Here is a 27462-nt window from a genome sequence, read left to right on the forward strand (position 1 = left end):
GGACCTGGGAGAAATGTCTTCCTGGAAACAAGATGAAAAACAAACTGTGTGATGAAGCAGGAATGAAGATCATATCTACTATCAGCCCGACAGACCCAAGAAGAATGTATCACTTTTACCCTTCTCCCAGGTCCACAGAGCCCCAAGTCAGGCTTTAATACATTCCACCACCTACCATCAACAGAAAACTATTTACGGGGTGGGTGATAGAACTGCAAAAATGTGGTTAAAAACAAGCTTGAGGGTTTTTGAGTATGGGTAAAGGCAACCTGGATACCTGGGAGAAAACAGTCTCTGAGAGCAACCACTCTGGAGGAACATTATCGTGGGGGTGGTTCTCCTACAAGGATCTTCAAGAGTCCTCCTCCGGTTATCTCTGTCTTCACTTCCTGACCTTCCACTCCCAGCTCTTTCCTCTGTCATCTTCTTTCCTTTTGCCTTGGATCAACCCCAGCCTTCTTCTATTCTTCTCTATGGTTCCTACTTGTTATGGGTTGGACTGTGTTCTGCCCCAAATTCATATGCTGCAGTTCTAACCTCTAGTGTCTCAGAATGTGACTGTCCTTGAAGACAGGGTCTTCAAAGAGGTAATTCAGGTTAAATGAGGTCATTAGGGCGGGTCCTATTTCAATACGACTGATGTCCTTATAAGAAGAGGATATTGGGGCCCAGGTACACATAGAGGAATGACCATCTGAGGACACAGGGAGAGGACAGCCATCTACAAGCCAAGGAGAGAGGCCCCAGAAGAAACCAGCTCTGCTGACACCATGATCTCAAACTTCTAACCTCCAGAAATATGAGAAAATAAATTTCTGTTGCTTAAGCAACTCAGGCTATGAAACTTTTTTCTTTATGGCAGCCCTAGCAAATTACCTCTATCTTATTTCTTTTTGTTTGTTGTTTGTTGTTGTTGTTGTTGTTGAAACAGCTCTAACTCACCCAGGCTAGAGTGCAGTGGTGCGATGACTCACTGCAGCCTCGACCTCCCTGGCTCAGGTGATCCTCCCACCTTAGCCTCCCAGGTAGCTAGGACTACAGAGACACTACAGGACCATCACACCTGACTAATTTTTTGTGTTTTTTTGTAGAGACAGGATTTTGACATGTTGCCCAAGCTGGTCTCAAACTCCTGGGCTCAAGCGATCCACCTGCCTTGGCCTCTCAAAGTGTTGGGATTACAGGTGTGAACCCCTGCCCTTGGCCACCTCTGACTTCTTTGACAGCAAATATCTCAAGCTTGCCATTTGCTCCACTTAGTAACCTTTATTTTGTGCTTGGGATACCTATGAATCACTTCTCAGAATAAAGCTTTCAAATGTATAAAACCAAATTTATAGTATAACAAATGTCATGAATAAGTGAAGCACAGTTCTATCAATGGACCCCCTGGAGGTTCATGGAGCTCAGGATAAAAACCCAAGTCTGAACTAAGCTATTTTCATCCACTCCCCAGATACCAAGTCTGGTGTCTTTTCTGGTTCCAAACACTTCCAACATCACTGGATGGACAGAGGGATTATTATAATACCCATAAAGTGTGTGAATCAGATGGAAATGACAAAGCGAAGAAAGAAGCTAAGAAAATGCTGAGATGTTCCAGTGGTTATTTTAAGGACAGTCAACCTCTTTCTGTTAATTTTACATGAAAGTACTTTTTTTTTCATGCTCTGAAGAAGATAGCAACTTGGTTAAGATTGGGGTTTCCTGGAATCATTATACAACAGATTAGAAGTTTATGGTGTTATGCTAGTTATATATCTAATTTTACAGACTATCAGAAAAATTTGAGTCTTTCTAGTCCAGAATCTCTCAACTTTTAATATTTTTATCAAGTGTTTTTAGACATTTTTCCTTAACCACCTCCCACCCATGAAATTTTAATACCAGAGATATATTGTATATCTGCTTATACACTGTATGTACTGTTTATATACTATGCTTTCACTGTACATAGATTAAATATTTTCACTCCCTCCCCAAGATCAATTTTTACTTCTTTGGGGATGTTATGTCCTTATTGAGAATGTATGTTATAATCAGACCCTTTTGCAGAGATAAGGAAACTGAGGGTCAAGGCAAGGGGCAGGGGAGGTGCCCAAGATCCCCTCTGGGATTAGTGAAGTAGCCACAGCTAGAACATGGACTTTGTGACTCTCAACCTCTTCTGGTCATGAGGGAGGTGGGAGTGAGAGAAGTCAACTGACTCTCCAAGAGCCACAGGTGTCAGGGCTAGACCAGAATCTAAGTGCCATAACTTCTAAGAGCTCAGAGTCTGTGCCAGTATCTTCCACTGACAATCAAGAACCGTCCTGGTGGAGGGAAACTGTCACTGGGCTAGAGCCCAGTGGGAGTAGGAAATGCTAATAACTGTGAGAGGACCACTTCATAGAAGAGACATTGAGATCTCATCACTGCATATCCCAGAAAAAAGACCATGGAGATGAACAGTCCACTGGGATTTGGGGTATTCTAGGTTTTATATATATATCTATATCTATATCTATCTATCTATATATATATATATATATATATATATATATAACCTATATATATGTTACATATATATAGGTTATATATATATGTTACATATATATAGGTTATATATATATGTTATATATATAGGTTATATATAGGTTTTATATATAGGTTATATATAGGTTTTATATATATAGGTTATATATAGGTTATATATATGTTTTATATATATATATATGTTTTTCCAAATAAAGCTGTATCAAAATACACCTATTTCCAAATAGACATCTTCCTGAAGTGCTGTGCCCAAATTTGCTCCAGGCAAATGTGTGTCTACTGTTTTCTGTCTTCCCTACCTCAGACTTGTGATCAAAGTCTGGCTGAAAACACGTTGCCACAGAATTCTGCATGCCTTTATGTATCTACGGTCTTGCTTCAAAGTTGAGTTAGGGGTGTTTGAGTCTGGACAAAAAAGGTTTGAAGTTTTGACGTTTCAAAAAAGTATCTTTTCCCCCAAGAATACAGCAGTTTGGTACCAAACTAGGCAATGGGAAAAGAATAAAGTCATGACATGTTTTCTCATTTTTCTTTAATCATTTAAATTTTTAAAGAAGAATTTTGGCTGAAGGTTGAAAGCAACTCTTTTCTTTTAATTTAATTCTTTCTTTATTTTTTGAACTCTTTTTATGACTTCATTGGGAATTTAGGCATCAGACCCAATTTTAGTGTTGGATTTCTTTTTTAACTAAGATCTGTGCTGTTTGAATGAACATGGTTGACGACTACTCCCCAAACCCAAAGGTGATTTAGCTCTGAATTCCTAATACTGAAAAATCTCTCTCCATGTCAGTTGCTCAAGTAAGACACGAACTTAGATGGAAACTTTGATAGGAGTCTAACGGGAACAGATTAAATCTGGCCCAGCCACTGAGTTGCTGTACGATTCTAGAACAAATCACATAGTCTTGGTAAGCCTCCTGCATTTCTTAATCTGTACCATGTGAATAATGCTTACTTCATAGAGCTTCTATGGAAATTAAATAAGATTCATTTGGATTTCCTATGGATAGTAAAGTTCCTGGCTAAGGCCTTCATGTTTTTTTATTGTAGGGACAAAATGTACATGATAAATTACACATTCCATTTACAATTGTATATCTGTCTGTATATACAATACATATTACTATATATTTTGCATGTGTATATACAATTGGTAATTGTGTATGTCCATGTTTATGTGCATACACACTTGTACATACACATAAGCACAGATAATTCTGTCAATAATGTGTCCTATATAGATGGTGTCTTCTGAAATTGTGCAACATGGTGATCCTCCTTGGGACACAGCCAGATATCAGTCTCATTAAAAAAAAAAAAAAGTCACCTTGCTCTCACTTACCCAGGCTAGACTCATTTTTTCTAGGCTGACTTATCCTAGCAGCTTTTCCCCTGATTGTCACAATACCCTGGGATGATCGGCGTAGGGTGGGAATGAGGGACCCTACTTGAAGACATGTTGCGAGAGTGAGGAACCACTGTGGGGTCCTAGAAGTATGCCTGGCATATATTAGGTGCAATACCTTTGGAATGAAAATTTATGGTAAGACATGAATAGCTGAGTAAATTAACAAATGAATGAGTGCACCTTGTGGCCTACAGGACCCACCAGCTTCACTATGCTCCCTGCAGCCTGTTTCCACTTCTTAGGGTCTACCCTTTTGTATGAGATGTGCTTCCTTCTGCCTTTCCCAAGAAATCTGCAGAAACATCAGGAGCTGTTTGGAAAAGACAGCTCACAACTGTGAGCACTAAGAATAACCATATTAGCAATTCTTCCCCAAATCTCTTTCATTACTACACTGTGGGTTCGATGCCAACTGACCAAATTAGGCATAGGCACCTGCCTGCTTGTGTCTCTTGTGTCAGTGTGTGTATGTTTGTAAGTGTTCCTTTTTCTCTAGATCTCTTCCTTTCTACTCTCTTCTGTCTGGAATTGGCTTCACTGGAAAAAGCATAGACCTTGAAGTGGGCAGGCACATCTGGATTCAAATGGTGCCTTGACAGTTCATCATTTGAGTGACCCTGGGAAATGCTTGATATTTCTTTTCTCTGCTTGCTCATCTAAAAGAGGGTGAATAGCACTTATCTTGCAGTATTTGCAAGGTAAATGTAAGTCTGTGTCTGTGCCTCACTCATTGAATGCACATGGAAAATGGGATTTTTTTTTACTACTGCTATTGCTTAGAAATACCAGTAGAGGGTAGGTGTTACTTTTATTCCCATTGTACAGACAAGGAAATTGGAGCTAAAAGAGGTTAACTGTACATGTCCTAAATTGCACAGCTAGGAAACTGATGATTCAAAATTAGAATGCAGGCTACCTGACTCTGACTCCAGAGCTCTGTTAACACATGGCTGCCTCGCATTCTGCTTGCTTCAAGGAAAACCTATCCACATCACTAAGATTTCTGGTTGTTGTATTTTTCTTTTTCGCTTCTGTCAACATACATCTCTCATTACTTCTGTAAATACTGAGCTTCTCATGGTGGTAGCTGGAACATAAATCATACCATGTTGAAAGAGAGGGAGAAAAAAAAACAAAGAAGTCAGGGAGAAGGTGACATAATATTGTAATTCAATACTTAATATCTCCAAAGACATGTAATACATCGTCATGACATTTTCAGGAGATATTTTCTGGAAATTGGACAATAATTCAAATTAATGCTAAGCCTAAATCTAATTATTTTATGATGCTACAAAGGACTACATGGGGCCAAGCATCCAAAAATCAGCGGTTTCAACAGTCATGTTGATGAAACAAATTTCACTGCCAGGCACGGATGAGAACAGCTGCCTAAATATACAATATTAATACCTGGGGCAATGTAATAACAGGGAACTGCAGCCTAGCCACACTGTAGCCTTCTCAGCAACCAGCCTTTCACCAGCCAAGTCCTACTATGAATTCTGGGAAAGGTAAGGAGATAAAAAAATAAGGTTTTTATTCGAGGGCCAAATGAAGGCCCTGGGGATCAAATAGGACCCAGGGTGGCTGAGGTCCACGTTTCTGGTATATGTCGCATGAAAGGTGAATTCCCGTCTTCTGTTCCTGGAGGCAGCTGGTGAAATGTAGTCTGAAGGAGCCAGTCCCTGGAGCCAGAGAAGACTGGTTGGAACACCAGCCTTGCCATTTACCACCTGAAGGACTTTATGCCTATGATTCACTCTGTGAACCTTGCGGATTCTCTTCTGTAAAATGGGACAACAATACCTAACATATAACTCCTGTGTGTAATGGCACATTGAGATGTCCATGGTTCATGAAGGAAGCAAGTTGCCCGAAAATAGATAAAGTATCATCTCAGATTTGAAATAAACAAACATAAAAATAGCCATTCAGGGTTTCTGTGTGTGTGTGTGTGTGTGTGTGTGTGTGTGTGTGTGTGTGTATGTGTGTGTGTGTAGCAAAAATTCTAGAAGGAAATACATCAAAAGGGTAATCAACTGGGCAGACTAGGATTGGAAATATCCTAGGAATAGGAAAGAGGGTATATTTAATATGTGCTTCATTTACACCTATATTACCTTTGTAATAAGGATACTGATGATGGTACTATTACTAGTACTTCTATGATATTGAAAACAGCAATAACACCAACTTCAGAAGATTTGGGAAGGAAGAAAGGGTAGAATATATACAAATTGTAGTAGTGAGTCAAACACATAGAAGGTGATGAAAAATTGCTTTTTTTTTTTTGGTCTCTAGCTAATTGCCAAGAATATGTTCTCCCTCTGTTGGAAGAGTCTGAGGCACTGGGCCAAGATAGGTGGAAATTGACTAAATAATGCCACTTTCTTCTTCTCACTCTTGCCTTTGTCCTCATATCCTGAAGTTTCCTCCTTACTACCCGTATCTTCCCAGATTATACTCATTTATCTTCCTTCCCTGGTCCCATCACCTGGAAGTAGCCTGTCCTTCCTCTGTCCTGAAGCCTGCTACACGCATCTCTTTTCTTATATCGGTATCACCACTGATGCATTTGAATTTAGCCCACACTTTCAGAGGAGTCAGCATGTGGCAAGATTTAGGGCATGCTGGTGTCTCATCTACCTAGGGAGAGAGTGAGTTTTCTAAGGAAGAATCCATATCTAATTCATCTTTAAAATGGCATCTCTAAGCACAGCGTTTGGCCCTTAGCGTGCAATCAGTAAAGCATTTTGAATGAATGAATGAATGGAGTGACAAATGGTGCTTTAAGGCAACTATTTGCAGAATATTGCCATAGATGTTATCAAACGGAAACAAAAGAGACAAACCCCACAGTTCCCTCCCCACACTCTCCAGTGGCGCTTCAGGTTGGGGTGCAGTGGAGCAATCATCTCTCAATGCAGCCTTGAACTCCTGGGCTTAAGCAACTGTCCCACCTCAGCCTCCTTAGTAGCTGGGACTACAGGTACATGCAACAATGCCTGGCTAACTTTTAAATTTTTTGTAGAGATGAGGTATTCCTATGTTGCCCAGGTTGGTCTTGAACACCTGAACTCAAGCAATCCTCCTGTCTTGGCCTCCTAAAGTGTTGGGATTGCAGGTGTGAGCCACCATGCTGAGCCTTTTTTTAAATGTGAAGTTTCTGACATAGAAAATAGGTTGGGTTCTATTTTCAGTTGGAACCAATGGTCTAGCAAATGATGAGCTAAACTATGGGATACATAGGACATTTGGAGTGTATTTATGCTTTTGCTATCAAACCTAATTGTCCTTTCTGAGGTGCTAATATCTGGAAGAGCACAGCTAAATAGCCAAACCATGGTTTATGAATCCAGACCAAACCCCATGGGGCATTCTTGGGGTTTACACAACAGGAATGGGCATGCGCAGAGACCCTATAAAAGATCAAACAAAGTTAACATCATCTCGCTCTTTCAAAAAACTAGTCAACTGCTATTCTTTGTTGTTGTCAAATTCATTTAGATGAGGAAGTCTTTCTGTTTTTTATAAACAGAGAGTCCAGGGTAATGTTTAATAGCAGAAATACAGAGCGAGGCAGCTGGTATTCACGTTCTGGCCATGCCACTAACTAACCAAATGATAATGATCCAGTTAAATGGGCCTTGGTTCCTCAGCTATAAAAATTTGGATAACAATCTCACAGGAATGTGGGAGGTAATACATGTAAATTAAATTTCCCTTGTTTCAGATTACTCACTTTTAGTATAAACGAGGTAATAGATGTAAAGTGCTTAAAACTGCACCCGACACATAATAAATGCTGGATAAATATTAGCTATTCTTACACTATTTCTACCTACATATATTTGATAGTTCTACTGTGAAATAAAAGAAAATGTTGCCTTGTTCAAATACAGTTTCGCAAAAACAAACACAATAACCAAGACTCCTGCTTGAACAACATATTAGCTTTGGATATAGCAGTGTAATCAAAAGCCCATTCTGTGACTCATTTCTACTTTCCTAATTGCCTGTTCCTGCTCTGGTCCTCAGCCAGGAGTCAGTCTTTAGCCACACATGGATATATACACATCAGATTGTGTGTGTGCATAAACAAGAACACACAACTCCTGCTGCCTCTGAGGACTGCAAAGAAATGACATTAAAAGTGAGTGATTTGAAACAACTGAAATTTAATTAAAAACAAAATTAAAAGTTGTTCCAAGCCTGGCGCTTCAGCCAGCAAGACTCAGAGGAAATTAGTAAGTGCTACTAATAGCTGGATCCAATTCACAACCTCTATGAGAAGACAGTCAGAGCAAAGAAGATGCATACCCTTTAGATGAAACAATTAAAGATCACTTCTGAGAAATAGTCATGTACAGTATCCCAGGGCAAAAAAAAAAAACAAAAAAACAAAAAACAAAAAAACAACATCATTTGCTGATGTGTTCCTCTTTGAATTCCTCATTTCTATTAAGGGAAAGTGCCCTGAGATTCTCCTAGTAGCATCTTCAATGGCAACGCACTGATTTTGAAAACTAGACTTAACACGGGAGGTGGGGGCAAATTCCTTTAAAAAATGTTGTCATCCACTGTCCTGAAATTTCACCTTGCAAATTTATTCATCCTTTGAAATTCCAAATAGTCAAGGTGCTTAGTAAAATGGATTCTCCTCAAATAATGAAGACGATTGTCAGCTGGGAGTTGGGGACTCAGCAGCAGGATAGTTAAATGTGCTGGCTGCAAGAGTGCTATGGTGGATGGAATCAGAGTGGGCAGTGGGCAGTGGGCAGAGGGGCTGCGTCTGAGATGAATGCTCAGAGGCAGGTCTGAGAAGACCACCTGTCCCGGGTTCTCAGGGTAGCATGGAGAGAGGTACAGGAGAAACAGCAAAAACTATGACAGTAAACAGGAAGATAGTGAAAACAAATCAAACAAACATACGACAACAACAACAACAAAACTGAAGACAATAAATGAGAGGGGTGGGGTAAAGGAAGGGGGAGGAATGACTAAAGCTGTGGCATTGAAAGTCTTCATGAGCATTAACTGGCCAGGAGTGGAATGAACCAGCTTAGCCTAAATACACAAAATTGGAGCAGACAGTACAGGTCCCTGAATCAAAGAATACTGCTCAGAGCTCTACCTTGCTCTACTTTCCTCCGTGTCCTTGTCCACAGAAAGGAAAGAGAATGCCCATTCCACAGAAAAGCTTTCCTGTGCTCACTTCTACAACTCATCACCCAGTCTGCCCCAACCACATTGACCTTGTTCCACCTTGTTCAAGTCACCCAAATGGTTTTGACTGTGTTGTTTCCTCTGCCTGGAACACACTTTCCTCTACCACACAACTTCACATGTTCCTTTAAATGTCGTTTTCTCAGAGAGATCTTCCCTGACCAGCATATCTGAGCCTTCTATCCCAACTCTCCTCTATTTTAATTATTTTACACCATTTTAATTATCCTCACAGCCACTCTCACCTGTTGCCAATGCTTACTTACTTTATTTTGCTAATTTGCTTTGGTGTTCGTCTCCTGCTGAGAATGAAAGCATGCTGCAGGCAGGGGCTGTGTCTTTTCCAGCACAGCATCTTGACTGCCCCATGACACATAAGAAACAGGAAATAAATATTTGTTCAATGAATGAATAAATTCTGTAAAGATTAAAAAAGGTATTATAGGTAGAATACCTAGCATACTGCCTGGCACATGATGAATTCTAGCTGTTATTTTCATAAGGATCTAATATTATATGGATTTGCATTCTAGTGGTGAGGTTGTTTCCGGAAGGAGAGAAGGATGGGGACTGAAATAGGACTGGAGGCCTCTAGATGCCAACTTGCTGTCCTCACACTGTGTTTGGAACATGCAATATGGCATAAGCACGCACCTGTTGTCTAGATGGATCTTACTGAGGGTGCGAGGTTGGGGAGGGGATGGGACTGGGCGCTACTGAGGGCTGATGCTGCAGGTCAACTAGGGAGAGAGGAGAAGCTGAGGCCAATTTCCTTTTGCACAAACCAGTCTCATCCCATCCTCAAACGAGTTCTTCAAGGTGGACAATGAATCTGTCCAAGCCCAACTTACCCTTTTATGCTCATCTCAGCTTCTACCTTCTCTAAGAATCTTTTGATGTCTACCTCAGTGAGAATTACCTTCTCTATCTTCTACCCAACTCCTCATGTAGCTTTGAGAGCAATGCAGCTTATGTTTACTGGGCTCAAGACTGGTTTTGAAGAGTCTACCTCATTGTCAAATCTTGTGACGTAATTTTGGGTTTCAAAATAAAATTGCAACCAATAATTCAATAACAGGAATCATAATTACAGGAACGGTATTAGATGTCTCAGAATTGTTTTTTTTTAAAAAGTTATTGTTAAAAGTATCCTGAATAGGGAACAGATCTAAATATACTGAGCTCCCACTCTATGTTGAATACCGTGACAAAAGGGGGTGGTTATAAAAGTGGAAGAAAGAGTCCCTGCCCGAAAGTAGTGTATGGTTCAATTGAGAGATGACAAGATAGACCATTATAATAGAACATAATCAGTGTAGTGATAAAGATAAAACAGGAAGCTTTGGGCACACAGAGCAGGGATGCTCACCTCCTCTGCAAAGTCAGAGAATGCTTCCTACAAACGGTCACACTTGAGCTGTCACACTTCCTTATATTGAGTTCAATATAAGAAAGCAGCTAAATGGAGTAGAGGGGTGCTATGCTTTGGCTGTGTCCACACCCAAATCTCATCTTGAACTGTAGCTCCCATAATTCCCATATGTTGTGGGAGGGACCTGGTGGGAGATAATTGAATTATGGGCAGTTTCCCCCATACTGTTCTCATGGTAGTGAATAAGTCTCATGAGATCTGATGGTTATAAGGGGAAAGCCCTTTCATTTAGTTCTCATTCTCTTTCCTGCCACCATGTAAGATGTGACTTGCTCCTCCTTGCCTTCTGCCATGATTGTGAGGCCTCCCCAGCCATGTGGAACTGTGAGTCAAACCTCCTTCCTCTAGGATTACCGAGTCTCGGGTATATCTTTATTAGTAGCGTGAGAACAGACTAATACAAGCGGCAAAGGGATTTAGGCAAAAGGAAAGAAATGCTGCAAAGAAACAAAACAGAGTCTGGGCCTTCAGGAAATAGCTATTTCATTTGGCCTGAGGATGAGATGCCCAAGGAGGAGAATGGGCTAAGATTAGGCTCAAAATAGTTTCTGGCTCTAACATTCTACACTTTAGAAAACTGCCAACTAGCTACTTGGCAATATGCCCACAATGTGCCCTCACCCCTGTACTCATGCCCCCCCTTTTGGGGTAGCAGAAGCTGCCATCTTTAATTGATTCCACATTTCAAGTGTGACACCAGCTCCCATCACCAGGCCTCTGTATCTTTTTTCAGGCCTCTGCTTCCATAGAAAGTCCACTGCCCAGCACATTAATGCTTCATTTGAGTCTTTGCAGGGAATGGCTGGCCCTGGAACCTTGAAACTCATAGGTCATGTTAACACTCATGTGGGTGCCACAGACTGATCACTCTCTCATCCTCCACCCTGGTTCAAATACTGCAGTGAGATGTCACCTGAGATATTACTCCAGTGATTCAAACCTTCAGGGGAGCAGCCTTCAGAGATCCGGCAAATTAATTTTACTCGCAGGACACAGTGACATCTCCTACTAATAACTTTTATCCAGGCAGCATTTGTAAAGGTTCTAATATTGTGGTTTTTCTTTTTTCTTTTCTTTTCTTTTTTTTTTTTTGACAGAGTCTCGCTCTGTTGCCCAGGCTGGAGTGCAGTCGCGTGATCTTGGCTCACTGCACCCTCCACCTCCCAGGTTCAAGTGATTCTCCTGCCTCAGCCTCCTGAGTAGCTGGACTATTTTTTGTATTTTTAGTAGAGACAGGGTTTCACTGTGTTGGTCAGGCTGGTCTCGAACTCCTGACCTCAAGTATTCTGCCCACCTCAGCCTCCCAAAGTGTTGGGATTACAGGCATGAGCCACCATGCCCAGCCTATTGTGTGTTCTTTAAAGTTGCTTGTATTTTTTTCTTTTCTTTCTTTTTTTTTTAAATCTAAATATGTAGCCAAGAAGTAGGCATCTGATCTTTGGTCTCACATCGGGATGCTGGTGCTTCAGCGGAATTGTAACAGTCCCTAGTTTTTGAGTGTGGTTACCATGGGCCAGGCCCTTGAAATGAACAACCATTTAGTTCTCACAATAACAGTCTAATTTCTGGTGTTTTAGCATCCCCATTTTTCAGAAGATGAAGCTTAGTTAGGATTTGAACCCATGTACTCTGGCATTGGTGTTGAAGCTCATAACCACCACACCTCACAGCTTTACAAAAAGGGGATTATTCTTACAAGGCTTCCTCAACTCAATTGGGCTTCTTATGTTGATTGATGTCTGGGGTCATCAACCTTTCAGGGATCCCAGGTGGCAGATGCCACATCATCTTTGACTCTTCCTCTTCCTTGGTCTCTACTTGTAGTTAGTTGCTATATTTCCTTTTTCTAGCTCTACAGGAACTCTTTTTTCTTTATTTTCACATTTAATGCCCTTGTTCAGGCATTATCTTATGAACTCAATATGGCAGCGCCTATCAGGTTCCTTGTCGCCAGCTTAGGCAACCTCAGATTCACCTTTCACATTGTGATCAGTCATTAAACAAATCTTTATTGAACACTGATTGTGTACTGGGGATTACAAAGGAACAAGACAGCTACACTCTCTGCCAATAAGGGCCTTAAAGTAGCTTTGGAAGGGGCTATTGTTTTCCAAGTATGGAATATGTGCTACGCAAGATCACCCTTTAAGGTGGTTTACTGTGACATTCCCCATTTCACAGATGCACAAACGAGGCTTAGAGAGGTTAAATAACTTAAGGCTACATAGCTACAAAATATCAGAGGCAGGTATCAAACTCTGGCAGTGAGATTCTGTAGCCCAGACTCTTAACCAAATTAGACATTGAAGAAGTAATTGCAAATGTACTGAATGCAAAAAGTAGTAGTTCAGGACCATTTAACAAGGAGACTCGACTTAGACTGAAAGGACGGTGATGGCAATTCCAATAAAAATGAACATTACCAAGTACTTTAGAAATATAATCTCATTTGATTCTCCCAACCCTACAGATTAAGAAATAACCCAGAAGGGTTAAGTAACACTGGTAGCATCTATTATCTATTATTTCATGCAGCTAGCATTTGAACCTAGGTATGTCTGACTCCACAGCCTGAACTCTGAATTAACAAGCTGCCTTGCCCTTTGTAAAAGCAACTGTGACTCTTCCACTCCTTTTATTAAAATCCTTCAGTGCTTCCATAACTCCCAACCTCCAGGATAAAATCCCAACTGCTCTTCCTGGGTAAACCCTCCCATTAGATCCATTCATGCCCCCATGGAGCCCCAGCCTTGCTGGGTGCTACCTGCTCCTGCCACACCTTTGCTCATGCTGTTCTCTTTACCTGGAAGATTGCCCTTCTTGTCCTCCCTCTCTCCCCCCACCTCCAACAGAAGTGCACATTCTCACTCCCAATCCCTGCCCATCCAGTTTCCTCAAATGGGAAAAGATGCTAGCAGAATCCTCTTGCTCCTTGAAGCTTTACCCAGATCTGCCCAGTGGAAAAGACTCCAAGCTTCCCTGACAACCTGGCTGACTCCTGTCTATATGTCCTGATGGTTCAGATTATCATCTACCTTCCATAGTAGCCTTTTGCTATATAGTTATCCTAACATTTTAAATGACACATGTGATCCCTGTGAGGGTGTGATTGGCATTTTCTAACCACCTATTTTTGGCTATTGTTATGCCACTCTCTATTTCACCCTCACCACCACCCTGTGAAGTAGGGGCTTATAGCTTCACTTTAATAGATGGTAAAATTGGTGGTTCTGAGAAGTACAGTGACTCGTCCAAGATCCATAATTAGTAAGTGGAGGAGTGTAGATTTAAACCTGAGGATTTAAGATTCCAAATCCCATGTTCTTTCCCCCACCTCACCCACCTTTAATGCTGACTGTGCCTGAGTTAATCCCAGAATCTAAGTCTGGCCCTGAGCAGGCACTCAGCAAATGTCAGCTGAAAGTTTGAATGTACAGACTCACTGATAAAGTTTAAATGGAAGCCAGAGTTAAAGCCAGGGAGTGAATAAACAGAAGGTTCAAGGATGGTCCAGGCTCTGGGGATCACTCCAGCTGATGATGAGATGCCCCAGCCATTAGCTGAGGTTCAGAAAGTTGCCAAGAGCTTCTGGAAAACCCAAGGCTGAGCAGCTGCAGATATATTTGGCTTACATAATCCAGAGGAATGTGCTGGGGAGAAAAGCCAAATAGCAAGGCTTTGCTGGGTAGCAGCGCTGGGGAAGGGGGAGCAGGATGCACAGGTGTTAATTATTCCTCCCATCTTATCCTTTCCCATGTGAATACAATGCATTCTTCCCCTCCCAGACTCCCACTGGCATCAGAGATGCTCAAGGTCCCTCTTCAGCTGGGGCTGAGAGGGGAAGCTGCGGAGGGGCCAGGCTTCCCACTACTTTATTTTTCATCCAGGCAGCCTTGGGAGCCTGAAGTCCCTCCACAAGCTTGGATGTGATCCTTCTAAGCTGTCTTCAAATGGCAACTTGTGGGCTCAGCTGTTTGCTCAGCTGTCTCTGCTCCCTACCTCCCTGTTCAGGGGGCTGCATGACAGCAGTTTGGCCCAAAGCAGTCTGAAGACAGAGTACCTGGGACACTAATGTGATGGCTGCATAAGGACTTGGAAGGTCATGTCCATCATGAGATAAGTAAAAAGGGACTTTGAACCCCAGTATTTCTCCCTCTCCATTTAAGATACTGGGGCAGGGAAGAATCTTAAGTACCACCTTGTTCCCCTCCTACATTTTACAATGAAGAAACTGAGGCCTGAAGAAGTAGAGATTTGTCCAAAGATGGAGTGAATTCATAGAGGAGCTGGAGGATGATCTTAGTCATCAAATTCTCTATCACATTCTGTGGATGTTGATTCAAAATAATTCTGTTCAACCTCTTCCCACCTGTGTAACACTAAGATGGTCATATAACCTCCCTAGGCATACATGACCTTTCAATTTTTATGTGTCCCTTAAATTTGAGGATAATAACTGGATCTACTTCATGAGGTAATAGAATGAAACAAGGTAATACCTTGCAAAGTACTTAGCACAGGACCTGGCACTTAGCAACTCTTCCGTAAACATTTCTAATCATTACCAGTGTTATTGCAACCATTGGGAGGTTTGAAAAACAGGATCTATAGGATGCACTGACATGTGTCCATGCCCCTCCCTGGGAAGCCTGCAATCATCCATTGCCCTTCTCCAGATAAGTGTCAATGGCTCTAAGATGTAGCTCAAGTAGCACCTCCTTAAGACACCTTCTTCCCATCTCCAGCTTGGGATACTTGTGTGCCCATCGGTGTCTCCACAGCATCTAGGACAATCCCATTATGAATCATTCACACTGAGTCATCATTTATTGACTTGGCATGTCCCACCACCACTAAGCTGGAGAAGGCCGGAGATGGTGTTTTATCTGTCTCTCCACCCCAGTATCTGAGCATGCCACAGAGAGTATGGTATGCAAACGTTTGTTGACCATGGGAGGAAAAAAAAATGAAGGAGAAAAGGAAGGAAGAAAGGGAAGAAGCAGAACACTATATAAGAATAAAAGAGTGGTGTTATTAATGCATTTTAACTATCTATCTTCCTTCTTCTAGCCAAGGGAGGCCAACCCCCCTAATATTCTACCTTTTCCTTACCTAGCCTTACCTGCCAAGACCCTATTCCAACCCTAAGGTTTTCTTTATACATATTAAAGCTGCAAACAGTGAGGAAAAGTCACAACATTCTCATAATCATAACTACCCTCACAGTTGACAAAATACTTTTAAATGAATCAGCCCACTAATACTCTTTGAAGGAGGGAGTATTAGCATGTTTTTAGATTTAAAAAAAACGCTGAAGTTTAGGAGGGGAATTAATATACCCAAGGTCACAAAACTAGAAAGCAGATGAACAGGTCTGGAATGCACATCTCCTGGGCCACAGATCAATCCACTTAATGTCTTTACCATACTACCTTCTTTCTCCTGTGGATTACTCCACTGCCTCATTATACACTATTTGGCAAACCTTAAGCCAATAATTATGGAACAACTAACTCTATAGACTTGAAGTCAATCTCATCAAAGCTCCCACCCAGCATTCTCTCTTTCCGTTCTAAAAGTCAAAGTGGCCTTCTGTTCACAACAACAGAACGGAATTATTAATGAGAGAAAATTGAGTTTGCCTACTCCTTGCAACAACCCTCTGCCCCAGTTCCTGGGAACATATTTTTGGACTCAATCTGCTATCAAAACACAGAAATTAGTCTCCAATTTTGGACGTCAAACTCAGTTATCTCTTTTGTTATGAAGGAAAATTAGTAATGATTCATTCTGGTTGGAAGCCAAGCTAACATCTTAGCACAGAGTGTCATTAAAAATCCCAGTCCCACTGGCTGCTGTGGTATCTTTAAAAGCTTGAACATGTTCAGCTGCTTAGAATGGTTTTTCTGGGTTTGTTCTCCCCCAAGCCACTTGTCATTTTAACCTGGGGATCAGTTACTATTTAAGGCAGAAAATGGCTTAAATTTTTTTTCTTCCATGGTTTTATGGATTTAGACATTCCTAATGAAGAGATTTGAAGAAAAAAAAAAAAGAATTCTACTCTAGGGGGTATCCACAGCTCCCAGCCATTGCCGAGCAAGTTGGCCATTAAGTACAAGAAAAAGAAGAAGTGAAAAAAAGTTTTCACAGTTTATAATTATATTACCAATTTCATTACAGATCTCATTTTAATTCTGACTGAAGCCTAGCCTTGCCTTCTCCCTGTACTCTCTCACGTATAGTTATTAAGTCTGGGTTGGAGTTCAAGCTATTCTCCCTGATTTCAGCATATTAATATGGTTTATTGGTATTTCATTGCCACCTCCCCTATGGGGGTTCTGAATCTCAGCCCAATTTATATTTCCCCTCTTTCTGGGCTCTGGGATGAAGCTTGTTTCATTTTGGTGTTGAGGAGGGGTGTGTGAATTTGATTGGAGTTTATTTTTGGGGATGGGAGCAACATCCTTGGGGAGTGAAGTCAATCATAGAAGAAGAGGCAGCCTCAGACCTCCTGCACTGTCATTCTTTTTGATGTATCTTCTTAGGGCTTCTGGGTCCACCGTCGGTCCTCCCTTACTTCGTTTTTTACAGACACAATTTCTTATATGCCTACTGAGTCAGAATCCCTGTTAGGCATCACAATAAGTTAGAACATGAATAAGCTGTGGTCCTTGCCCTTGAAAAAATTTAAGTCTAACCATTGAATTAACTTTACAAAAAAATTCAGTGAAAGCCTTTTAGCGGGCATCAAGTATGTTTTGGATCCTGTCCAAGGTTCTGAACATAATGTGCAAAACAAATGTAATCTCTATCCTTATGGAACTTGAAACCTAGCAAGAGAGAACAACATTAACTAGATAAATTTAAAATTATACATTGAAATAAATATAATACAGAAAAAAAGCAGGGCTCAAGGAGAATGATTCATAAGGGAGCTAACAGAGGCATTACCCTAGGGTAAATGAGAGAAACTAGAGATGTGGGAAGAAGTTTTCAGGCAAAGAAAACACCATGTGCAAAGGGCCTGAGGCAGGAGGCAACAGAGAAATTTAAGAGCCAATATATGGAGAGGTGGTGTGACGTAAGACTGGAAAGGCGGGCAGGGGCCTGACCTTGCAAGGATGCAAAGGCCACAATAAGAAGTTCAGTCTTCAAAACAAGTAAAAAAGAAGACAATAAACAGATTTATGGAAAGTATGACACGTATGTAATACATGTATGCGATGTTTTGATATTTTCATTGTAAAAGATGGCTCTGTTTGCATTGTTAATAAAAGATAGGAGAGAGCCTAGACTTAAAGCAGGAGGCCAGTTTTCAGGACTGTGGCAGTTGTCTCAATGACACATATGTAACAGTAACAGTAACAGTAATAGGAGTTAGACTGAAGTCATTAGAAAGGCACAAATATAATTCTAGGTAATGTTCATGAGAGGTGATATTATTTGTCTCTAAGGATTCATTGAAGAAGGTTTTCTAGAGGAGGGAGCAAACTAAGTTATGCCTTAGAGATGGGTGAGACTGCCATATATGGAAATATATGATGGAGAGGAATGTACAAGCAAAGGTATATAGAGAGGCAGATACCAGGTAGGACAGTCTATTTGTCTAAACAGCATCAAGGCTGTGCAAATGAGTTAACAAAGAAAAAGACAGAAGCCATATTGTACAGAACTTCCACCCATAAGCATGTTCCACAGTATTCAAAGATCTGCAGTCAACATGGAGCATTTTAAAACAAAGCCTGGGATGATTTCATAGAGCAGGATGTCCAAGGAACTACTCGTTTTAAATAAAGTGCTTGGCAGTTTGTGGCTAAGGATCCACTTACAATGTGGTGTCATTTTCCCTTCTAAGAATTGAAAATACTCCTTCCATGTATTCAAATCACTGCAAACTAGTTCTGAAGCCAATTATGGACCTCTTTCCTCTCTAACAGCACAAAGTCATGCATTAGCTCACTCTTCTGGGATGGAGGACATCAAGTAGGGATGAGAGCAAATAAATGTAGACAAGTGTTATTATTCACAATTTTATGCTCAAAACCAGCTACATGTGTGGCATATTAGTGAACCATGCCATCCCAATGTGTGGGCATTTATACTTGATGATTTCATGGGCTAAGAAGCCATACTCAGATCCCAAATATCTCAGTCATAGGGAACAGAGAAGACTTGGATATCAACTTAGTTCAACCTAAAAGATGATGTTAACCATTTAAAATAACCTGAATAAAAAGACATTTTAGCATAGGTATTTTGATGCAACAATCATATCAATATATAAAATTGTGTGTGTCTGTGAGTTTAGCTAAGTAACATATTCAAGAGACACAGACATCCCTTGTTTTCACCCATTTCTGAGCCTACGCAAAGAATTGGTGACACTCTGTGTGAAGTACTAAGGAATAAAGAAACATATTCTAAAAGTCCTAAAAAATTAAGTGGTTTTAAAATTTACAGTTTGATAATATGGCTCCAAAACAAAATATCATGATTCAAACCAAACGCTTCTCTTCCCCTCTCTTCTACAGCTTTGTAAAAATGTGGTCATCTATTCTCAGGAGATTTTCTATGATGGGGAACTCATTACCCTGCAATGACCCCCTTCCAATATTAAGAAAATATTATTACTACTTCTAACATTTATATAATTTATTGAACCATTACTAGGTCTTAGGTATTGAGCTAAAAGCTTTATGAGCATTATTTCACTTATTCTTAGCAATAACTTTATAAGTACTGCTATTATCCCCAATTTATAGATAATGTAACTGAAGCTTAAAATGTTTAAGTAACTAGCACAAGTCACACAGTCAACAGTAGAGGAAGACGTTTCCAAACCAAGGCTTCATCTTCTCCCATCCCTGACCATACTCATTACCCATATATCTGTCTAGTTTTGCTTCCTTAGGACTTCCAGAACTAGCCTGCTCTCTTCAAAATAAATAATAATTATCCTGGTCTCCTCTCTGGAAGCTTAGAGCATAGAAGAACCTTAGACTGGGGGCTCAGGTAGGCTTAAGTTTTCATACCACGTCATCTATGTGTTAATCTCGTAAAACCACCTAGCATCCCTGAGCCCCACTTTTCACGTACGCAAAATGAGGATACTAAATCCAGACTCTCAATTTTGCTATGAGAACTGAAGGAAGAACCCTGTGTAAAGTGCTTTGTGTGCTACTCAATAGATAACAGACATGCTCAATAATAGTAGGTTCCCTTCCTGTCTAGGTTCCTTCAACGCTTGTTATTGAATGAATGTCTTCCATCCTTTCCTTAAGAGGTCATTAGGTATCTACAGTGCTTTTTCAATCTTGTGGCTGCCAAATCCTCTCACTTGAATAACTTCCAATGTATAACAAGTCTTGGAACAAAACAGGGAATTCTAGGTGGACTGTTACCTGCCTACACTGGAGTGGAACCATCTCACCTACTTCACCTAGATAGCTTGTTCCTTTAAAAGCAGACTCTTCTATTGGCTGACCACATTGGGTGAATATATGCCCACTTACATTGGGAACCTCAGTAGATGCATAAACTAGCATCTCAGCTAAGATAGGTGTTTAATATTAACCAATAACTATTTCTCAATGAGGCTAACTGCATGGCAATTTTGATGAGGTCCAAACCTGTGTGATCAGGGTTAGTATGTTATAAACCTTAAGAATAGACCACTCACATTATATCCAATGCTAATGATAGTTACTGGAGTTATGCTATGAGGCAGCTCCATTAGTAGGGCATTGATAAAGTCAAAGGTGGAGGAAACCAAAGACCCTTATTAAAGATGCTTATAATGATTCCAAGGAGTCTGAAGAAGTGATCACATATGTTAGATGGAAAAAAAGTAACACTTAAAGAATTATTGACACAGCTCTCGAAGCCTTGATAAGTGACCACCTAGAGAGTTCTTGTAAAGAATATTAATATGTGGGCTCTACCCTCAGAGAATCTGACTCACTGGTTCTGGGAATTATCTCCCCAGATAACCTAAATGCAGACGATTTGTAGTTCACAGCTGGATAAACAACACTAGCTTAAGTCTGTTTAGATGCAAACATGTTCCATTTCTTCAGTGTGTGCTTAGGAGGGCAAAAAGCCACTGATGGCTTTGAAGAAGCCCAGATAAAAGAAGGGGTGAGATTTGCCAAGGGTTTGGATAGGAACTGTGTCAGAACTCTTGCCAGCTGGGCTCTGGACAAGTGCTATGTCATAATGACCTTTTCTTTATAATCGACAGTAAACATTGAGTATAACTATGCAGTAACACAAGGGCAGAATTCATTTTCTCCTGGAAGACAGGACCCATTACTCAGCCCCATCCAATGATCCAGCACCACGGACAGCTCAATGTGTAATGGTAGCTGAGAGCTCTCTCTACTAAGAAGGGCCAGCACCTGGGCAGCTTGGAACTCATGGGGGTGACTGAAAAAGGATGAAAGCTGCTCTGGCTTTGGTCCCTGGGAGACCTGGTCTCAAATGGAGCTTCTTGCACTTGACATGAGCTGCCCTCATCCTGACAGACCTCATTGAGACTTTGTTTTTCTTGTTTTTTAAAACTTTGCCAGTTTTAAGGGGCCAGTATTATGATGTGGGTGAATACATATATGTAAAATATCATAGAATTGTGCACTTTCCATCTGTGTTTGTCACCACATTTATGTTAGGTTGTAACACATTTATAAATATCAATGCTAACGGATGACATGGGTTCAAGAAAATAGGCACTATTATCGCTTTCCCTCTCATCCCCCTATGTAATACCCTCATATCTCCAGAAATCAGAGCTGGAAACTCCAGTAGTACAATTTATAAAATCAATTTTCTAGATCCTTCTCTACTCCTACAGAAGATTTGATTCTACTCCCCTTCATATCCCAGTTTCTGTATCTGCCAAAGGTGGATAATAAAGACCACTTTGGAGAGCTGTTGGAGGAATGAGATGAGCAGCACTGATAGAGTTTCTGCCAAAGGAGGCATTGGGATCATGCTGGGGAAGGTGAGCTTGATTGGGATTACCAGACAGCCATCCACCTGGCTTCAAATGCTGGATGCTCCCAGGATTCCTGCCAAGCCCCAGAGATGGAGGAGTTTCAAGTGTTAACGTCTTCAAGTGGGAAAGTCACTTTTGGCTGGAACAGAGCATATAATGTATTCCCTTTTCCATTCACCTCACTGAGAGTAGCTAAATTCACCTATTTAGTTTTCTATATTTTCTTGCCTTGCCATATTCCAGCTTCTGAAGTCTCTTTCTCTACAAACTGTTTTAATAATAAGAGTAATAACAGCTACCATTTGTTGGGCTATCACAATGTTTTAGACACTCTACTAGGCACTTTATACACATTATAACGTTCAATCATCCCATAATAATCCTTATTTTACAGATAGGTGAGAAAAATGAGACTCAGATAGCTAACTTGACTCTTCTATGTTTCACAGTAACTAAGCAACAAAATTGAGATCCAAACCAAAACTTACTTCATTTGAAAGGACACATTCCTACCAAGATATTATGGCATGTAAGGGATGGAGATTCCATTATGCCTGGAGACTAAGATACTGTGGACAAGGTCTTCCCAATGCTGTCTTCTAAGCTTGCTCCATCGCATCTCCAGGATGTGTATACTCCGTAGTTATTTCTCTTTTTCTTTTGTATTAATTATATTTTCTTATTTTCTGGATGCTTGATGCTCTGGCATCTGAGCCTCCTGACTGGGGAGAACCCTCCCCTCCAAGGATAGTCATATCTTACAGAAAGCAAAAGACTTGTCCAGGGAGCATCCCTTTCATATGAAAATTAACCAATCCAGAACCTACACTCCAATCATCTCCTCTATATGGCTTATACACATTGGGAAGGAATATTCTCTCCCTTCATCCCCCCAGGGCCAGATACCAGGCAATCAGGAGCAGTTCTGAAACCCCAGAGCCTGCTAAAGTTATTCAAATTGGCCAATCTCAAATCTGTCTATCCTGCTTACACTGCCTCACCCATTTCTTCCTGCAATAACCATAATACAGGCTCTTTCCCCTGCTTTCCACTTGGTCCCTCTGCCTGCTGATAGATACGGGTGCTTTCCCACATGGTCTGCATGGTGTGCTGTGCATTGTGTATCTGAGATCTGTTAGTATGAAAACTGCTTGTTTCACAACAGTCCTTTCGGCATCTGCAGACAAATCCTGGGTACATTTTAAAACTTCACAGGTATATTTTAAAACATCTTGATTTCTATGCATCATCTGCCTTAGTTTTCCTTGATTCAGTATCTGTTGTGTGCTTAGAGATCTACCAGAAGGATTCTATAGAACAATGAACAACTCAGCTTTAATTCAGGCAACATTCATCCACTGGACACATATTTGCTGAATATCCATTATGGACAAGGCACTGTGCTTATCAATGGGAATATAATATTTCTCCCCAAAGACATAATTCCTGCCCTCACAGAGATTCCAGTCTAGAGGCAGAAACAGACAATTCCACAGGCTGCTATAAAATTTTAAGTTTATGACATTGGGCACACCGAGAAAGGGCACCTTTTAATTCACCACATTTTGGTCTATCCTTCCAAATCATCAAGACGGTTTGCCGCTGTCTCGGGTAATCCCTTGATTTTGCTATTTCCCAGCTGTTCACCATTTCTCAGCCACATGCTGTCTGAAAATCTGATGACCATGATAAAAAAGTAGGTGTTGTAGTCTTCAGAATACTCCTATGAGGTAGGTACTACTATTATCCACATTTTATAGATGGAGAGACAGAGGCTCAGAGAGGGGAATTCACTTGGCTATCGAAGAGGCAGACAAAGGAGCAAGTATTTAGATTAATGTTTGTAGTATTCCAAAGCCTGTGCTCTTAGCCATTAAACTGTTTCATCTTGAGCAAGTTATTTTCTCAGGGATTCCATTTCTACATGTATGAAAATAAATATGTAAAACTTGAAAGCCTTTAAGGCTTAACATTCTACAATTAATGTGTAGTGACAGCTGAGAGATGAAGGGTGGGGACATGCATTCTGTAGAATTTAATACTTGCTCTGTTGTTTTTTTCCACCTCAGTGTTCATCACTCCTACTCCTCCATTGCCATTTTCTGGCCACTTCCAGGTTCTGACAATTCTTCTAGCTGCGTAATCCATCAAACTATTTGCTTCTGTAAATTTTGTTCCTTCTGATTTCCTACAGCTTTCCCTGCCATCTCCCCCACCACACATTTACTTGTCTTATGTGCACATATGACTCACTAAAGATGAGCCAAAGTCTTGTACATAGGTCTGAAAATCAACTGAATGTAAATGAAATAAGAGATATAAGTTCTGAATGTATATGAACTGATTTGCAGTCCAAGTGAAAAACAAGTAGGGGCTTCTGCACTACGGTGAAGTGGGAACAATCAGGATGCATTAATAGAAGTTTGAGTGTTTCAGAGAATGGTGGTAAAATTCCACTTTTCTCTGGTCAAAATATACTGAAGGGATGGTGCTAAGTTCTGAATACCGAAACTTAACGGAAATAAAATCAAATTTCACTGAAGAAAGACTGGCAAATAGAGGGTAAGGATCTCAAAAACGTTCTATACATATCAAAATGCAAAATTTTTTTAAAGAATTAATGGTACTAATATGGTGCTACAAGTCAGAAAGTTTATTGCGTCTACAGAGCACTAACTGGAAGGAGGCACAAGGAAACCATATGAGGTGCTGGAAATATTCTATGATTTTATCTGTGTAGATTCATATGGAATCTTGTTACATGTCCTTATCACAAAAAAATTATAGTGAGAAGACACTTTTAGAGGTGATGGCTACGTTTATGGCATTCCTTATGGTGATGATTTCATGGGTATTTACTTATCTTCAAACTCATCGAGACATATATATTTTAAAAAGTGTAAAATGTATACAATTTTTAAAGGGTAAAAAGTTCTAAAACTAAAAATTTATTAAGTTGCACAGTTAAGGTATGCCTTCTTTATTATAATTATGCCAAACTTCAATACAGCTAAAGACGGTGATGGCATGTGAGAAGTGTTTGAGAAACAGACGCCAACATATCCTGGAATGTGTAAACTGGGACAACTTTTCTGGAGGGCACTTTAGCAATAGATAGTAACCACCTTAATCAGGGTCTTGGACCATGCTTTGCTAATGACTATGGTGGCAACAGTGTCTCATTAATTCAATTTAATTGGGTGAAAAGTAAATGCTAGAATATAAGACACTTGTATATTTACAGGGAATGAGCATATGAATATTATCCAAGACATTCAGGAAATTCCAATAAAACTCATACAGTCTTCCTTGTCATATGATTCTAATTAGCAAATACTCTTTGGGGGGCATTTTTATTTTGAAATGGATCCACAGTCATAAATGTCAGTAGGTTCTCTGAAGTAGCTCAATCTTTCTGTATTCACATTTGAATTCTTCCTTTATTTTTAAAACTTTATCGTTGCTCATAAGTTAAAAGTAGTCTTTACTGGATAAAGAAAATGTGGTACACACACACCATGGAATACTATGAAGCCATAAAAAGGAATGAGTTCATGTCCTTTGTAGGGACATGGATAAAACTGGAAACCATCATCCTCAACAAACTAACACAGGAACAGAAAACCAAACACCACATGTTCTCACTCATAAGTGGGAGCTGAACAATGAGAACACATGGACACAGGGAGGGGAACATCACACATTGGGGCCTGTTGGGGGTTGGGGAGAAAGGGGATGGAGAGCATTAGCACAAATACCTGAAGCATGCGGGGCTTAAAAGCTAGATGATGGGTTGATAGGTGCAGCAAACCACCATGGCACATGTATACCTGTGCAACAAACCTGCATGTTCAGCACATGTATCCCCAAACTTAGAGTAAAAGGAAAAAAAAATTAAAAAAAATAAAAGCAGTCTTTAATTTAATTCAAATAATCCAGATTACAAAGGATAAGATCCTCTTCCAAGGTCTTTAGATGCTCCTTTTTTTCCTCCTGTAATATATGTAATAGTAATTCTAAGGTTTGGCCATACACAGAAACCTTTGACCAGTCAGGGGTGCAAGGTGCTGAGTGGGTGTGGAGCATCTGCAATGCTCGGCTCTTACCATCTGCTATGAAGTGCTCGGGCACATGCAGAGTCACCTTCACAGTGAGTGGACAAGACATCTGGCTGCCACACACCATGGCCAGGATGCAGGAACTCACAGCAATCAGTGTCAGGGCTGTCTTGTTCACTGGGCTTTTCAGCAAACCTGGTAACAAGAACATACACAAAGACACAAAATTCCATGAGGTGAGGAAATGGGATTGGCATCAAGTTTGGGAATTCTATTATTTTCCAGTTGGGAATCTGAAAAAAGAAAAGAAAAGAAAAAAGACATGTTTTCTAACCTTTGTGCCTGCTATGACACCTCAGTGGGCCTTCTTTGGGCCTTGATTTAACACTCCGCAAAATGGGCTTCTTATGATTCCTTTGGGTAAGCATAAAAGAAACAGGCTTTCTGAAACTCATGGCAATTTTCACTCCTCCCTTCCCAATTCGGTTGGTCATTCTTGATAACAATTAGATGATATTAAGCCCTCCATTCTCCTTAGAGGCAAGTGAGAAGATACCATGCTGTTAAATTCAGTAGAGTCTAGTGAAATAAGCATGGGCTTTGGAGTTAGATCATTCTGGATTCAAATTTGGGCTTTGGCCCTCATTGGCTCTGTGATCTCCATTTTCCAAACCTCAGTTTCTTTCTTTCTTTTTCTTTTTTGTTTGAGGCGGAGTCTCGCTTTGTCGCCCAGGCTAGAGTGCAGTGGCACAATCTCGGCTCACTGTAACCTCCGCCACACGGGTTCAAGTGATTCTCCCACTTCAGCCTCCTGAGTAGCTGGGATTACAGGCACCCACCACCAAGCCCAGCTAATTTTTGTATTTTTAGTAGAGACGGGTTTTCACCATGTTGGCCAGGCTGGTCTGGAACTCCTGACCACAGGTGATCCACCCGCCTCAGCCTCCCAAAGTGCTGGGATTACAGGCATAAGCCACCACTTCAGTTTCTTTATATATAACACGAAGATAATAAATATCTCACAGGGTTCTTGTGACAATTACACAGCATGATTTGTATATCATGCCTGTCATTTAGAAGAGTTTCACGGTTAGAAGCTGATCAGTTCAAATGAATTTCACAAGCGTTTACTGAGCAGCTACTATGTGAGACACATACAGAGCAGAAGAATAATCTTTCCTCTTCAGGATTTTATAGGCTAGGGGGAAAAGTCAAGCTTATCCATAGCTAATTAGATTCTAACACAAATTGTGTTACGACCTAGAAGAGAGGGCAGAGAGTACGGGGGGTGGTTTTGCCTCTGAAAATTAAAGACAATTTTATGGATATAATACGAAAAGTAGATTGGATCTGCACAGCTAGACGACACTGGGCCAACAAAGAAATTCTATGGAGGCTGTCTTGAGTCCCCGTTTGTTTCTCATTCTTTAGGCTTTGTTCTTCAAGGTTTTGCTTACCAGTTTTAGAGCAATGCCTCCACAATTTTTTTTTTTACTGCTAGGCTCTTCTTTTAAGCAAACCTTGTCTCTCATCTCCTGGATATCTTTCTGTGGCTATCCAATTAGAATGTCAAATATATTAATAACACGTTCAAAACAGGGTACATTATCTTCTCCTTAAAGCCTCCCCCTCCTGAGATCCTCAGCTTATTGAAAGCACTGCCATTTAGACTGGCCAGAAACTGAGATGTCACCTTTGAGTTTCTGTCTTCCTCCTTTACAGCATCTGAAGAGTTGTGTAGTGCTATTTATTCTATGTCCTCAGCATTTTCACCTCTTCCCTTCATCTCTTCTATTGTATGTTT

At 40.6% G+C, this 27462-nt stretch overlaps 1 protein-coding gene across 3 annotated transcripts in view; it reads right to left on the minus strand.

The window, feature by feature from the left end:
- ASTN2 (astrotactin 2) overlaps window positions 1–27462 on the minus strand; it is a 991946-nt gene that overhangs the window by 591001 nt on the left and 373483 nt on the right. For all 3 annotated transcript variants that reach the window (NM_014010.5, NM_001365069.1, NM_001365068.1), the window contains one exon: window positions 25707–25853. In NM_014010.5, the coding sequence (NP_054729.3) occupies window positions 25707–25853 (147 nt within the window). The remainder of the gene's footprint in view (window positions 1–25706; window positions 25854–27462) is intronic.

This window comes from Homo sapiens, chromosome 9 (assembly GCF_000001405.40).
Source record: "Homo sapiens chromosome 9, GRCh38.p14 Primary Assembly".
Classification (NCBI taxonomy): Eukaryota; Metazoa; Chordata; class Mammalia; order Primates; family Hominidae; genus Homo; species Homo sapiens.